At 50.2% G+C, this 14,070-nt stretch overlaps 1 protein-coding gene across 3 annotated transcripts in view, besides 3 other annotated features; it reads left to right on the top strand.

The window, feature by feature from the left end:
• SERPINA12 (serpin family A member 12) overlaps positions 1-7,565 on the top strand; it is a 30,566-nt gene extending 23,001 nt beyond the window's left edge. For all 3 annotated transcript variants that reach the window (NM_173850.4, NM_001382267.1, NM_001304461.2), the window contains 2 exons: positions 5,077-5,224; positions 7,350-7,565. In NM_173850.4, the coding sequence (NP_776249.1) occupies positions 5,077-5,224; positions 7,350-7,541 (340 nt within the window). In that variant the 3' untranslated portion in view covers positions 7,542-7,565. The remainder of the gene's footprint in view (positions 1-5,076; positions 5,225-7,349) is intronic.
• Positions 7,938-8,232: an enhancer, noted in NCBI's record as "tiled region #8049; HepG2 Activating non-DNase unmatched - State 5:Enh, and K562 Activating non-DNase unmatched - State 13:Ctcf". NCBI's record gives its function as "activates a minimal TATA promoter and a strong SV40 promoter by Sharpr-MPRA in HepG2 and K562 cells {active_cell/tissue: HepG2 | K562}" and the evidence as "EXISTENCE:reporter gene assay evidence [ECO:0000049][PMID:27701403]".
• Positions 8,231-8,762: an enhancer, noted in NCBI's record as "H3K4me1 hESC enhancer chr14:94952419-94952950 (GRCh37/hg19 assembly coordinates)". NCBI's record gives its function as "activates a minimal SCP1, AML or CMV promoter by ChIP-STARR-seq in naive H9 embryonic stem cells {active_cell/tissue: H9 hESC(naive)}" and the evidence as "EXISTENCE:reporter gene assay evidence [ECO:0000049][PMID:30033119]".
• Positions 8,763-9,296: an enhancer, noted in NCBI's record as "H3K4me1 hESC enhancer chr14:94951885-94952418 (GRCh37/hg19 assembly coordinates)". NCBI's record gives its function as "activates a minimal SCP1, AML or CMV promoter by ChIP-STARR-seq in naive H9 embryonic stem cells {active_cell/tissue: H9 hESC(naive)}" and the evidence as "EXISTENCE:reporter gene assay evidence [ECO:0000049][PMID:30033119]".

Below are 14,070 nucleotides of genomic sequence, written 5' to 3'. Positions count from 1 at the left end.
CTCATCTATGGTGTGTGGCCATAATATCGCCAACACCACAGTACTCTTGAGAGAATTAAATGTGCCTTAGCACAGCATTGCCCCACAGAAAACATATCCAAATGCAAATTCCTCTTTCCTTCCCATTGTCTAAAGAGGCAGAGCTCCAAGGTTCTCAGCAGAACTTTTGAACTTCTGGTTTATTGAATGACAGGTGTCCTGCAAATCTGACCCTCTTACCCTCAGGTTGAAGCCCTAGGGTGGCTGCTCTTCCACTGCAGAAGATGTTCCCAGTGGGAGGGGCGGGTGAGGCTGTGCAGATCTCGAGGGATGGCAGCGCTCTTGGAATGCCCTGTCACTTAGCTCCCCCCTTCCATAAATGTGACTTTATTGAAAGCATTCAGAACCAGAATTTTCCTTTCTCAAGCCTGCAGCTCACTCTAGATATCAGAGATGCATTCTGCAATGCCTCCAAGCCATGTTCCGTGTGAAAGGAGTCACATCAGTTCAGTTCAGTTACCACCCACGGGTTCCCCCATGTTGTCTCAACATGGGGACATCCCCAAAGGGACTGACGTGTTTCAGCCTGCACTCTACAGATTTTTAGAGTTCACAGAGATGTCTTGAGAGATCTCCCTAGGGAACTGGGGGGTGTAGAACATGAAGAGAAGGTAAGAAATGGGAGGGATGCCAGGTCTTCCACCCCACTTCATCCAGAAGTCTGGCTTTGTGAGACATGGACTCCAGAATATGACATTTCCCGTAGGACTCAAATTACAGTGGCTTGAGACTCTGCAGTTGATTTGCTGGAACTCACTGTCCTGAGTGCACTCCACCCCTATCTCCAAGCCATGTCTGACAATTTCTCCATGGGGCTACAGCTCAGGTGCTACACTGGGGGCTTCACATTCCCCTCACTGAGGCCCTCTGCAGCCCCTGGTGCTGTGACCACCATCAGGCCACCACCAACCACACAGATGTTCCCTGGGCACTGCCACCATCTCTCTGGCTTCAGGCTTCATCTCCTTTTGCACCTTTACACAAGAGTGAAATAGAACCTTTGAGATTTTCTGTAGGCTAGTGCCAGACTTCCTGGAGGTTTGGGAATAACAGAACCAAAGCTCCTCACAGGGACCCAGGATAACTTACAGCGCACAGAAGCGGCGTCTTGTGAAGTCCAAGTGTAAGCTGCTCTCAGTGGCGTCTCGTGAAGTCCAAGTGTAGAGTGTAGGCTGCTCTCAGTGGTGTCTTGTGGAGTCCAGGTGTAAAGTGCAGGCTGCTCTCAGTGGCGTCTTGTGAAGTCCAAGTGTAGGCTGCTCTCAGCATCTCTTCCAGGGCACCTCCTTCCATTTTTCTAGTGCCTGGTCTGCCTCCCCCATCCCTCTGGGACTGCTTTCCGCATCTCCTTGACTTGAGGCCAGGCCTCCCCACCAGGAGGGCCATAGAAAGGAAGGTTCCTCTCACCCCAGGGATGTCTTGCCTACCCAGTCACTTCTGGCCTTGGAATGACAGACAGGGTATTGTCCACCTTCCCGAGAAGAAACTCCAAATCCTCTTGCAGGACAGGGGGCTTGCTCACCGTCCCCAGGGAATTACATTTCATTAGAACATGATAGGAACAAACATTCCTACCTTCTGAGCTCATTATTTCTGGGAGATAAGTGGTCAAGTTGCTTTGATCTACAGGTGGGAAGCCTAGTCCAGAGAGCTCAGTGGCCCGCTATGGGAGAGCAGAGGTGGACGGGCTATCCCTATGCATTCTTTCTGCAGTCCTCTCCAGACTGGAGGGCCTAGAAGACACTGAGCAGAAAAATCACCTTTTCCCTAAAAGAAGTAACCAAGTCAACAGACACACACCAACTTACATGTGTGTAGAACATGTCAGAATTTAGGCTTCGGATGACTTCCACCTGGCCTCTGTGCAGGAGGCAGACACCTGCTTTGGATTTGCATAATTTGAGGCCAGGTGCTGCTCTGATTTCCCCAGAGGAAAAGCTCTGTTTCCCAGGGTCCACCTTTAGGAGCAGAAAACTGCTGGTGGCTTTGAAATAGCCATTGTCCTGTTCAGAAGTGTCGAGGGTCCACTCCCAGCCTGGGTGCCCCCCACACATTTCCGTACATATTGGTATATGCACTCACCTGTCAGCACAGCTGCACTTAGTGCCTTCCCACGTTGGCACAAACTAAAGCCGATCTCCTCATTTACGCACTGGACCTACGGCCCCCTGCTACTCAGGAACATCACCCTAGAAATCCTCTCCTCACTTTCCTACATCAGCATATGTTTTTCTCTCTTCTGAATCATTTCCATCAGATACAAAGATGCCCTTATCTTTCCTATCATGAAACCTCGCAGGGGGCCAGGGAAAACTTACAGCTCATAGAAGTGGCTTCTATGCAAGAAGACAAAGCAGGTGTCTGCCTTCTGTGCAGGCAGGCCTGTATGGCTTGTGCTGGCCTGCAGGAAATCTCAATGCTATTATTTTTCCCAACATAAAAGCTTCTCTTGACCTCTGCTTTCCCCCAGTTATTCCTCCATTTCGTCACTCCCCCTTTGCAGGTGAATACCATGAAGCAGTTGCCTCTGTTCACAGCCCCTAGTTCCTCTCATCCTCTCCTAAATCCACTCCAGTCCAGCTTCTGCACCCACTTCTCACAGAAAGCTCCCTTCCCAGGGTCCCAAGGGTGTCTGTGTTGCAGAGTGCAGTCAGTCTCAGGCCTCGCTCTTCGGCTGGTTTCTGTCCCCACCTCCTTAAGGCACTCTTCATTTGGCTTCCAGCTCTCCACTCTCACATCACCTCCCACCTCTCCCCTCCTCAATCTCCTTTGCTGGAGACCCCTCTCCTCCTCCAGGTCTCAGAGGTGAGTGTCTCAGGGCTCAGTTCCCAGCCTTCTTTTCTGTCTATACTTACCCCTGAGTGAGCTCACAGGCTAAGAGCTTTAAACACCATCTCTATTACCACGACTGCCATGCTTCCATCCCCAGCCCCTGTTCTCCCCCAAATTCCAGAGTCGTGGATCTTTCTGTTTACCCAGAATGTCCCCAGGATGTGTAATTGGAGCTTAGTGTCAACACATCCAGAATGACTTCCTGATCTGTCCCCAGAGAACCTCCCCAAGCCTGCCCATCTCAATCAGTGGTGACTCCATCTTTTTAGTTGCTCAAGCCAAAAACCTTGGAGTCACCCTGACCACCCTCAAATGCCTCATTCAGTCTGTCAGGAAACTCCTTTAGCCTACAGCAAACCACATCTGGAATTTGGTATCTTTCCGCCGTCTCTGTGGCTCCCAACATGTGACTACCACACTAGCTTCCAAATGGTCTCCCAGCATCAATTTTTGCCCATCCCCACTACACACACCACCACCACCAAGAGTATATTCTTAACAGAGGCAACAGAATGATCCTTTTAAATCCTAAGCAAGACTATGTCACTCCTCTGTTCAAAACCCGACAGTGACTCCCCATTTTATTCAGGAAAAAAAACCCCAATTTGTCTAACTCTCTTGCCTGCCTCAAGGTTTGCTCAAACTTTGGACCAATCCTCGATTCCTGCAAGTCAATCTATTTATTTTTTTCCATAGCACTTACTGCCTTCTGCATACCGCTAGTACATGTATGTAGGCTTAAGTGGTACTTTTTGTTGTGTTGATTCTATCACCTGTCTTCCCTGCTAGAACACACAGTCAGGGGCAGGGATCTTTGCCTGCTCTGTTCATAGATGCATCTCCAGCACCTAGAACAGCACCTGGTATACAGTAGAGATTTAATAAATGTTTGTTGAGTGAATGAATGAGTGGAAAGGTAAATTTGGGAGTCGTTGGGCCTGTTGATGATATTCAAAGCTGTGAGACTGAATGACATGTATGGGGATGGAGTGAAGGTGGAAAAGAGAAGGGGACCAAGGTCTGAGCCTGGAAGCAGCAGTGTCACCGGTAGAGATGGGAGGGGTGGAGCCCGACAGGGGCAGGAGTGGTGGGGAAGGAGGAGAAGCCTCAAGGGGTGGACCTGGAATGCTTCACCTTGGAGAAAGGGATTACCATCACGTGCGGCTCACTGAGAGCTGGCTCTGGGACGTGGGGCTGGTTGTCAACGGTGACTCTGGAAAGAGTTGCTTCCATAAAAAGTTGAGGTCAAAGAGCCGACTGGAGTGGACTGAGGCAATTGTGGGAGGGAGTGGAGATAGCTGCTATAAAAGGAAGAAAAGAAATGAGCTGGAAGCTGGAGAGGCTATTCAGGGCCAAGAGAGATCTCTTGGTGTTAGTTTTTGAGGATAGGGTCACTCTAGCATGAGGCCTCCTCCAGAGGAGGATCAAAGGGGCACTGTTTAAGGATGATGCAGGAGAGAGAGGACACATAGGCAGGAATGAGATCCTTGGGTAGGTGGGAAAATAGGGTGCAAGGCCAGGTGAACGGGAATCCAGGGTCTGCAGGTACCTCAGGAGAGCCTGGGCCCCAGGCTCCGGGCAGGAGGCTGATCGCGGTTCAGCCACAGAGGATGTGAAGCTGCTAGTTGGAGGGCAGGAGGATGGGCACCTGCTACGCACCAACTGTCTGCTGAGTGCCTTGTCTGCATTTGCCTTAGCACCCCTAGTGTCCCGCAGGAGCGACGGTGATCATTTTCCTTCTCACACAAGTGACTTAGAGAGGGAAGGTCACAGAGCTCATGAGAGGCAGAGTGGATTTGAACTCAGTTCTGTCTACCTCCAGATTCTGGGTGCCTTGTTCCCTCCAGTGTCAGGTCTTCTGGGGTCAGGATGGGCTCAGGGCTCAGGCATGGCAGCGACTACAGTGTGGACATCATCAGTGACTGTGGCTGAAGGGGCTCTGAGACGGGGGAACTTGAGACTTGAGAACACTCCCTGTAGAGGGCTCTGGGGCAGGTGTGCTGGGAGGCAGGGACACGGTTCAGAGAGCTTATGGTGTTTTGAAACCAGGGTCCCAGGGTTAAGGAGCCCCTCCTCATTCTGTGGATGGAGAGAGATTGGAGACCTTTGGGGCTGGGAGGACACATGTTTCATTGGTCATGTATCCTGAGGCTTGCCCTGCAACACAACAGGACTTGACCACTCACCCTTGTCGTGTCAATTCCCCAGGGTCGTAGACGTGTCTGTACCCAGACTCCACATGACGGGCACCTTCGACCTGAAGAAGACTCTCTCCTACATAGGTGTCTCCAAAATCTTTGAGGAACATGGTGATCTCACCAAGATCGCCCCTCATCGCAGCCTGAAAGTGGGCGAGGTAAGCCTGCCTAGCCTGGACTCCACTCCCTGCAGCACAGGGGCCTTCCCCCAGCCGGGGCCAGAGCCAGGGTCACAGTGGCTGTCAGAGCCGAGACTCCACCCACCAGTCGGGGCGGGCATGAATGCAGCTGTGCCCCTTACCAACCCCGTGATCCTGGGCAAACCACATAACCTCCCCCAGCCTCATGCTTCCAGTCTTTAAAACTGCTGCTATTTTGGAAATCAATTCAATGTAGCAAACGTTGATCAAGGCCTGGAACAGTTATCAGGCCTAGAACTGGTCTAGGTCTAACCCAGACCCTCTCTCAAAGGCCACATCCGTCTTTCTTTCTTTCTTTTCTTTCTTTCTTTCTCTTTCTTTCTCTCTTTCTCTCTCTCTTTCTTTCCTCTTTCTCTCTCTCTTTCTCTCTTTCTTTCTTTTTCTTTCTCTGTCTCTCTCTCTCTTTTTTTCTTTCTTTCTTTCTTTCTCTCTCTCTCTCTCTCTTCCTTCCTTCCTTCCTTTCTTTCTTTTATTTTGTTTTTTGAAGGAGTCTTGCACTGTCACCCAGGCTGGAGTACAGTGGTGCGATCTCAGCTCACTGCAACCTCCACCTCCCAGGTTCAAGCAATTCTCCTGCCTCAGCCTCCCGAGTAGCTGGGATTACAGGCGCCCGCCACCATGCCCGGCTAATTTTTTTGTATTTTTAGTAGAGACAGGGTTTCACCATGTTGGCCAGGCTGGTCTCAAACTCCTGACCTCAGGTCATCCACCCACCTTGGCCTCCCAAAGTGCTGGGATTACAGGCGTGAGCCACCGCGCCCAAGGCCACATGTTTCATATGAGTTGGCATAAGCATATGCTGCATAGGAAGAGATGACCAAGCAAAGGGGCCTGTGGCCCCTGGCAAAGGTGAGCACCTGACTGTCTGGGGCAAGAAGAGAGCACCATATAGGTAGAGTCACCGGATTTAGCAGATTTCATACAGGATACCCAATTAAATTTGAATTTTAGATAAATGATGAATAATATTTTTAGTGCCAGTATGTTCAGAATATTTCACGGGACACACTTACACTAAAACATATTCATTGTTTATCTTGAATTCAAATTTCAGTGGATGTCCTGTATTTCACCTGGCAACCCTACTTTGGGGTTAAAAAGGCATTGAAGGAGGGGAAAGATTTCAACAAGCAGAGATGGGTGCGGGGATGGGTGCAGCAGTGTGGCCAAGGCTGGGGGTTTTTGGATATCATGGAGTAGTGGGTGGTGGGGATTGGGTGCTTAGTGGAGATAAAGTGGGAGGTTCAAGCCAGTCTGGGAAGGATCCAGCTTGCCAAGCTGAGCCCGCTGCTCTGAATCAGATGGCACAGATTCCACTGTATTTTTCACGTTGACATAAGAAACATAGTTACTAGAATTTTCTCACTTTTGAGCTTTCCTGCCACAGACTTCCCACAAACATTTAACACCAGCTCTGAAGGTCTTGTTGAGTTTAATGGCTCATTTCTTTCTGTAGTTACGTTTGCTGATAGCTGTGATTGTAACACAGGATACTGTCCTGTTTTCTGCAAGTAAAATTGTGAGAATTTTGTAGGCTAGCAAGAAATGTGCCAGGATTTCACACATGCCCGTTAGTTTCCCAGTACTGATCACCTGTTTACAGACGTTGATGCCTTTGGAGTGGATTTGGGATGCAAGTCATCTCAAAGAGCTAATCCAGAATCCTTCTCCCTCTTAACCATCCACCAGGTGGATGAAAGGAGGTGCTGGAGGCTTCAGGGTGGGGGTACCACCACCTCACTTTCACCCAGCTACAGCCCAGTAGACCTTTCTGCCACGGCTATGGTTGATGCTTCCCTGTAACCCATGAGAAAGAGAAGCAAACCCCACTCCATCTCTCCCCCCACCGACTCCCGTAACTGATGCTCCCCCTGCACCATCTTTTCCTTCACACGGCATCTGCTTGTCGAATATTCTCCAGCATTAATGGCGAAAGAGCCAGGAACCCTGGAGTAAACCAAGTTACTGCTGTGCTGGATGGCTTGGGCCAAGTGGTCTTCCTCTCTGATCCTCTCTGGGCCTCCGGCCCACTGTGGTCGCCAAGGAGCTTGGCAGACCTTGACTTTGCCCTTGGCTTCCGTAGGCTGTGCACAAGGCTGAGCTGAAGATGGATGAGAGGGGTACGGAAGGGGCCGCTGGCACCGGAGCACAGACTCTGCCCATGGAGACACCACTCGTCGTCAAGATAGACAAACCCTATCTGCTGCTGATTTACAGCGAGAAAATACCTTCCGTGCTCTTCCTGGGAAAGATTGTTAACCCTATTGGAAAATAAAGGAGAATTCCTGCTTGCCACAGACCCCGAACATGGCTTGGGGTTGAACATGTTCCATCTTCCTGAGATGGAAGTCACAGGCACATTTCAGTTTAGTCTCTCCCTGTCACCACCTCCCTAGACAGCCCGAATGAGCAAAACTGCAAGTTCTAGAAGTCCTGTGCCCCATTTCCTCCCTGCCCATTCAAATGCTGGGATGCAATGCCCCACCCCCGCCCACTTGGTGGCATTCTCCTCTCCCCTCCAGCGGGCAGAGGGACTCTGTGATTTAGTAAACAAATGTTTCTCCCCCACAGCCCTGCCCCAGGTTGACTGGCTGTTGGTGGATAATTTGGGGAAGGTATGGGCCACAGCAAGTACCTGGGGTCTCGAGTGAGAGACTGGGGTTCAAATCCTGGAATGAGGTATCTTTGGGAAAGCCACAAACCCTCTCTGAGTCTGTCTTCTTATTTCTGAAGTGAAGGTCCCGCCCCTCCCTTTGGGGCTCCAAGGAAGCTAGTTCAGTGCTTTAACAAAGTCGGTCCCAACTCTGTGAGTCCTTGGCCAATGATCCGCCCCAGAGTGTCCACGTGGGAGCTCTGGGCTCAGCCAGGAATCCAGGCGGATGGGGAAACAGGGACGGGGCCAGTCCAGCCCCTCGGGCAGCATTAGAAGGACGAAGTCTATTAGTAGCCGCCAGCTTTGTCCATTTCTGGCACAAAAAGAACATCCTGGCACCCTCCCTCCCCTGTCCCCTCCTTATCTTGTTGTCAAAGGCAGATCCTGCAGTTTAAACCTGTTAGCAAGTTCAATTGAAGAGTGAGTGGGGTCTCTGCGCCCTCCCCAGAAAATGTGGCCCTGCAGGGCCGCCTGTGGCCACTAGAGGGCACCAGGTGCTCGCAGGGCCGCGCACAGCTTCCCGGCCTGGGGCAAGCTCATTTCAGGCATCTGGTTCCTTCCTCTCCTCCAGGGAATTCCCAGGGCTTTCGGTGTTTGGAGAGGAGAGGATACTGGCTGGCTTGGCACTGAGGAGCCTCGACTGGCACTACTTATCATTTCCCGGGCGTGTTTAGCAGTTTGCAGCTCATGGTGTCCTTTGTGTTCTGGTCACAGGTGCTCTCAGAGCAGCCAGAGTGGGCGTCCCTATAACAGACATGGAAACTGAGGCTCAGAGAGGTGACGTGGCTTTCTCGTGGCCTCAGGGTTAGCCACATGCAGCAAGTGCCCCATCTTCTGGTTTGGGGCAGGAAGGCAAGAGTCCCCAAAGGCTGGTGGAGAAGGCTGCCTGCGGGTGATGGGGGAGGGGCAGGGCAAGTGGACGGTGGTGAGGGCTGAGCCCAGGAGCCCAGGGTGCGCAGCCCCTTTTCGAGAGGGTGGGGGTGAGGGAGAAGGTTGAGACCCCGCACAGGGACACAGACGTGGGAAAAAGGCTGGGAATCCCGGCCGAGCCCTTTGCCGACATCATTTCCCCTGCCCCAGCCTGAGGGGTGGGTATAGAAAGACACAGAAACCCTTAGCTACGGTCTCAGGTGCGCAACATATGACACTGGGGAAGTGACACTGCCAGGAAAGCCACCGAGTGGCCAGGTGACCTGGGCATATCACTAAACCTTTCTGAGCCTTAGCCGCTTCATTTATTGAGAGAGGATCATAATATCTACCTCCAGCGGCTAAGCTAGAGACTAATACCCTCTATCTACCTATCTACCTCTGAGGATCACGTGAGCTTGCATGGCCATTGTGCCTGGCACGTGGGCATGCAGTAGAGAGCCCCTGCTGCGGTCCTCCACCAGCCCCCTCCAGTGCTTCTACCATCTCCTCTAATGGGAATTCCCTCCTCCAGCCTAACAAACTCTTCCTCACCCTTTAATACCCAGGCCACTAGGACCTCTTTATGAACTCTTCTCTACCTTTCCAACATCTCCCAAGCAGCCTCTTCCAAGCAGCCTTCCAAAACCCTTACATCCATGCATGGCGATGGCAGGTGGGTCTGAATGTTCCCTCCAGCCCCCTGTGGGCTGCAGTCAGTCCTCCATTAAATGATGACTTCTGGGCTGCAATCTCTGAGCTCATTGTTGATATATGTAGACCGGTTTCTGCCTTCCTGGGGTTAATAATCAGTGAGGGAAGCCACCATGAATCCAATAAACACATGTTTGTCATGAGCTGCAGTGGGCACAGTGAAGGAGACATCGCAGAGCTTGCAAAGGGTGTCACAGAAGGGTCGTGTCCAGTCCGGGGGTCGCATGTCACAGGTCGCGTCCAGTCCGGGGGCCCAAGAAAGGCTTCCCCAGGATGTAATATTTAGGAGGAGCTCCAAATGCTGGGAACTCATCTGTTTTTAAACTGTAGTTAGGAATTAAAACTGCATATAGAGGTGTTTTTTCCAGCATAGTTAATAATATGTTAAATACTGATTGGTATTTCTAAGTATACCAATAGAAATCAGGCATAAGCTCGAGTTCTTTATTCATCTTCCTTTTAACTAATTCTGTTTTTAAAATGACTGTTGCATACCTTAAATATTTTTAAATATCATGTTCTGCTTTCATAGCCACATTTGTATTATTCACTGCACAAATAAATTCTATTTTGAAAAAGAAAAAAAAAAGAGGAAGAAATGAGGGTGGGAGCCCAGGGAGGCCCCACCAAGCAGCGAGAACAGCATGTGCAAAGGTCCTGAGGTCAGGAGTGGCACGGGTGAGGAGCTGAAATGAGATCAGTAAGCAAGAAGGGGTGGGAGCGGGGCCAAGAGGTAGGTGGGAACTCATGGGCCACAGAGGGATGCTGGTCTTTAATTGAAGAACTCTGGCGGGCTTCAGCAGGTGTGCAGTTTGAGAGTGACTCAGGAAAGCCCATGTGTTTTATGTCCCTCTGCCTGCAGACTTGTGTCCTTGTATCCCCCATACCCAGGCCGGTACCTGCCACAGAGCACACACCCAACACGTATTTGCTGGAAAGAAAAACTGCCCTGCTAATCATCCTTGTCCAGACACGGTCAGCCCCCTCCAAAGCTCCCCTCTCCTCTGGGAGGGGAGTCACATGCCTTAGTCCCGCAGGCCTGCCCACTAGGATGTGACCATGCCTGCTCCTTCTTGTAGGTCTGTGTGCCACCTCCCTACATCTTCCCACCCTGCCTGGATGCTCTCCTTGCTCCTCATCCTCTCCCACTCCCACGACTTCCTTCCAGCATGTTACTCAGTCTTTCAGAGAGGGTTCACCCCTTCTCCTTCTCAGAAGCCTTCCCAGGTCACATATTTGTGGGCTGACCAACCTTGTGAATAAATGAGTGTATGAATGACTGGATTTTGATTTTGACATAACCGACACTTCCTAGATGCCTATCAAAGCCTGACACGACACAAGTGCTTTCCCCATCTCACTGGCCCACAACCCTTCCGGTTGGTGTGACCATCCCATTTTACTGATGAGAAAACGGAGGCTTAGGAAGATCACATCAATTGCACAAGGTCCCACAGCTAGACTGCCACAGAGGTAGGAGCAAATACAAATCCCCCGAACACTTGTGGCTTTTATTTATCCCATCAGTTCATCCATCCATTCAACAAATATTCACTGAGTGTCCTCTCCATGCGGGGACAAAGAGGGGTTTTAGGGTTTTGTGAATAAAATATAGAAAGATCCTTGCCCTTGCAGAGGTCTCGTGTTACTCGGGAGAGGCAGGAAATTAACAATAGGTGTGATCAAGAAATAAGGACATACCAGCCTGGCCAATATGGGGAAACCCCGTCTTTACTAAAAATACAGAAATTAGCCAGGCATGGTGGCATGCACCTGTAATCCCAGCTAATTGGGAGGCTGAGGCAGGAGAATCACTTGAACCTAGGAGGCAGAGGTTGCAGTGAGCCAAGATGGCACCACTGCGCTCCAGCCTGGGTGACAGAACAAGACTCCGTTAAAAAAGAAAGGAGAGGAGAGAAGAGAAGAGACATTAAGTGGAGTGGGTAAGGGTGACTAGCGGTGCCAGTGGCGCTGGCAGGGGTCACAGCCAGCCTCCCGGGAGGCTGAGACAGTGGGTTTTATGGTTCGCCTCTCTGAGATCTCTGCTGCACAGTCCTCTGGAGGCTTTAGCCTGGGAAATGCCCATGCAAATGAAGAGGGCCAGCCCCTCCACACTTGTGGGTAATTCTCGTCAGGTGGCATGAGAGACTGAGAAAAGAAATAAGACACAGAGAGAAAATATAGAGAAAGAAAAGTGGGCCCAGGGGACCGGCGCTCAGCATACGGAGGACCTGCACCGACACTGGTCTCTGAGTTCCCTCAGTATTTATTGATTACTATTTTCACTATGTCAGCAAGAGGAATGCAGTAGGAGAGCAGGGCGATAGTGGGGAGAAGGTCAGCAAGAGAACATGTGAGCAAAGGAATCTGTGTCACAAATAAGTTCAAGGGAAGGTACTATGCCTGGATGTGCACGTAGGCCAGATTTATGTTTCTGTCCACCAAACATCTCAGTGGAGTAAAGAATAATAAAGCAGCATTGCTGCCAACATGTCTCGCCTCCTACCGCAGGGCAGTTTTTCTCTTATCTTAGAATTGAACAAATGTACAATTGAGTTTTATACCGAGTTTTATACCGAGTTTCTCCTGCCAGGAGCGGGCAGGAGAAACAGGCCTTCCTCTATCTCAACTGCAAGAGGCCTTCCTCTTTTACTAATCCTCCTCAGCACAGACCCTTCATGGGTGTTGGGCTGGGGGACAGTCAGGTCTTTCCCATCCCATGAGGCCATATCTCAGGCTATCACATGGGGAGAAACCTTGGACAATACCTGGCTTTCCAGAGCAGAGGTCCCTGCAGCTTTCTGCAGTGCATTGTGCCCCTGGTTTATCGAGACTGGAGAATGGCGATGACTTTTACCAAGCACACTGCCTGTAAACATTTTGTTAACAAGGCACATCCTGCACAGCCCTAGATCCCTTAAACCTTGATTCCATACAACACATGTTTTTGTGAGCTCAAGGCTGGGGCAAAGTTACAGATTAACAGCATCTCAGGGCAAAGCAATTGTTCAGGGTACAGGTCAAAATGGAGTTTCTTATGTCTTCCCTTTCTACATAGACACAGCAACAGTCTGATCTCTCTTTCTTTTCCCTACAGCAAAGGTGGACTTGATGCATAAAGGAAGGATTCACCCTAACCAAGAATGAGGGTGCCCAGTGTCAGAGGCCCAGGAGAGACAGGCTGCCTTGGTGTGGTCCAGTTTGACCTACACGATACAGAAAACCTCTGTGCAGCCTCCGAGCAGGGGACTTTCTACCTCTTCCAGCATAGGCTGGGTGCCAGGAGTCTGGTTTGCTGTCTGCCCCCACTCTGCCTGCAGCACTGCCTGCCTGGGCTGAGGTCATTCATGTGGGCGCATAACAGAAGTGACAGACTGGTGTGTTGGCAAGAATGATCACAGAAGGGAAGTCCTAGTTCTTGGCCCTGCTTTTCCCAGACACTGACTGTGTGGCTGGAGCAAATACCTTCTTCCTGTTGGGCTTCCACTGCCCATTTGTGCAATGATGAGGTTGCCCTGGATGCCCCCAGAAGACCCTTCTATTTTGGGCAATACTTTGATGTTCATATTGGAAATGATAGAACTGGCTCGAAAGTTTTATGTATAGTCATTCTCCCTTGCATTTGTTTAGTCAATAAATACTTACTGGGAATCTTCTGTGTGCCAGGCTGTGTTCCAGGGATGGAGAAGCCAGGATGGACAGGAGAGACAGGAACCTTGTTCAAGCAGAGCTGAGGTCACATGGTCTGCTTCCTCCCCATTTTCTAGTCTCCCCTTCAGAACCAGCCAGGAACACGTATCCTACCCCACTGAGTCACCACATCAGTGCTCAGGTGTTCCCACAGGGGTGCAAAGCCAAGGTGCCCTTTCTCTTTGGGAAACCAGCTCTCCATTAGCGCTCAGTTTCTCAAATTTTATTTACTCCCAAACCATTTTCATGATTAGGACTAAATTCCCCTCTCTTTTGTACGTTATTTGCTCAAGGCCTATCCTTAAATCAATTCATGTTAGGAAAAGAAAATTTGCTTAAATAGAAAAATTAATATTGCAGTCATACATAGAAACTAGCACAACTTGCCACAAGTAGAAAGTAAAAATGCACACAACAAAACTAATTCAGTGATTAAATTCAACCAAGACTGTCACAGATTGCAGGCTCCCAGCCTGTGGTTTACTCACCCTTGTTAGAAAGGAAAGTCAGCAAGTCTGAGATGGTGGTAAAGATGGGCTGGCATCAAGCTGAGACTCACTCCTGGGGGAACTCAGAATGATCAAAAGAGAGCTGGAAGAGGGAGGACTTTGACACTGAGTGATTCCACATCGTGGGCAGAAACCACTGAGATTGTTTACCTTGTGAACAGAGCAGTCATCTCCCTGATCCCTGGAGACCTCGGCCAAGGTTGGAATGTTTTCTTGATTTATGTCCTTGACTGATTGGCTTTACTTTCTTCTTTTTAAATTTTGGAATAATTGTAGCTTCACAGAAAAGATGTGAAGAGAGTCCACTGAGTTTCCATGCACCCTTCAAC

Source organism: Homo sapiens, chromosome 14 (assembly GCF_000001405.40).
Source record: "Homo sapiens chromosome 14, GRCh38.p14 Primary Assembly".
Classification (NCBI taxonomy): Eukaryota; Metazoa; Chordata; class Mammalia; order Primates; family Hominidae; genus Homo; species Homo sapiens.
Note: the sequence above shows the minus strand (reverse complement) of the source record. Positions and strands in the feature narration are given on the sequence as shown.